This window comes from Homo sapiens, chromosome X (genome assembly GCF_000001405.40).
Source record: "Homo sapiens chromosome X, GRCh38.p14 Primary Assembly".
Taxonomy (NCBI): Eukaryota; Metazoa; Chordata; class Mammalia; order Primates; family Hominidae; genus Homo; species Homo sapiens.
The window spans coordinates 140,925,876-140,927,480 of NC_000023.11; the positions used below are offsets into that span (position 1 = coordinate 140,925,876).

The following is a 1,605-nucleotide window of genomic DNA, read 5'->3' on the forward strand; positions in this document are numbered from 1 at the left end:
ATAAAAAACTCTAGCTAACTGAACTGGAGCAATAAAAATTAAGTAAAATAGAGATTACCTCAGAAGTGCATCCAAATCATACTGCAAGAATACTAAATGTGATTATTTTAGATGTTTTTTCTTCTTTAGATGTTTATAGACAGGAAATAGTGCATTTTTCTCCAACAACCCACAATATCAAGGCTTACTTGAGTGCATTAAAATAAGTAATTTTTTGTGGCAATATAATAGTGGGAAATCCAGCTTTTTTTCTTGAATTTAAAAATAACGATTTTTTTTTCTTTTTTCTTTTCTGCTCCTCTCAACCCAGCTTTTCCTGACTCCAAGAAGAACTGGGAAGAGAAGGCTTATTGATACATTTGAAGACATTTCAGAAGTAGAATTACAACTTTAGAAAGGCTAAAAGTTCCCACTTGCTTAAAGGTGATAAGAGCTGGTTAGCTTTACAAGGGCTCTAAGAACACAGTGAATATACAGACTTTAATGTGAAAAATGGCTACAAGTAATTGACTGGAGAATCCCAATTTCCAGTGGCAGCAGTCTGAAAATAAGCTGTCCACAGGGCCACACTCCCTTTAGGGCAGGGGTCCCTAACCCCTGGGCCACAGACCAGTGGTGAGCAGTGGGCCTGTGAGCATTACCACCTGAGCTCCACCTCCTGTCAGATTAGCATCCACATGAGAGTCTCATAGGAGCACCAACCCTATTGTGAGCTGTACATGCAAGAGATGTAGGCTGCATGCTCCTTACGATAATCTACCTAAAGCCTGATGATCTGATGTGGAACAGTTTAATCCCAAAACCGCCCCCCAACAACACCTCCCTGAGTACGTGGAAAAATTGTCTTGCATGAAACAGGTCCCTGGTGCCAAAAAGGTTGAGGATTGCTGCTTTAGAGGCTCTAGAAAAGAGTTTGTTCCCTGCCTCTCCCAGCTTTTGGTGGCTCCAAGAATTCCTTGATTTGTGGTAGCATCAATCCAATCTTGCCTCCGTCTTCACATCACCTTCTCCTCTATGTGTTTGTCTCTTCTCTTCTGTTTCTTATAAGGACACGTGTTATCAGTTTTGGGGTCCACCTGGATAATCTAGGATAATCTCATTTTGAGATCCTTACCTTAATTACATCTACAAAACCCTTTCCTCAAATAAAGCAACATTCACATATTCCAGGTATTTGGATGCGGACATATCTTTTGGGTTGGGGTCCCTATTCAACCCACCATGGTTTGTTTCAGTGGAATTAGGGCTGTACCATCTGCTCAAAAACATTAAAACAATTAGGAGGAGCATGAGTGTACCTCAATATCTTATTTGCAAAATGAAGATAGGGACATAGTTTGGTTAGCTAAGGTACGGTGTTTGGCTAAAATGCCATGTTTAACCAGTCAGCATCCACATCTTTAAGGTTTGCTTGTACCCGGTATAATCTCGTTTCTTGAAAACCGAGTAAGTGAAAAATTGGAGGTGAGGGCATAATAGAAACCATATAAAATAGAAAATATATACAAGTTTCTTTCTTTATTTCACTTGTTAGTAGTTCAGAACTTCATAAACACAAATATTACCACTAGCAAGCAGACATCCCCCAAACTCAAAAGTAAAGCA

The 1,605-nt window shown here is 39.5% G+C and overlaps 1 non-coding gene across 1 annotated transcript; it reads right to left on the reverse strand.

Moving 5' to 3' along the window:
* Positions 1-284: 284 nt before the first annotated feature.
* Positions 285-356, reverse strand: MIR320D2 (microRNA 320d-2). Its single transcript, NR_031725.2, has one exon. It is a non-coding gene; the product is annotated as a microRNA 320d-2 (primary transcript).
* Positions 357-1,605: the final 1,249 nt, after the last annotated feature.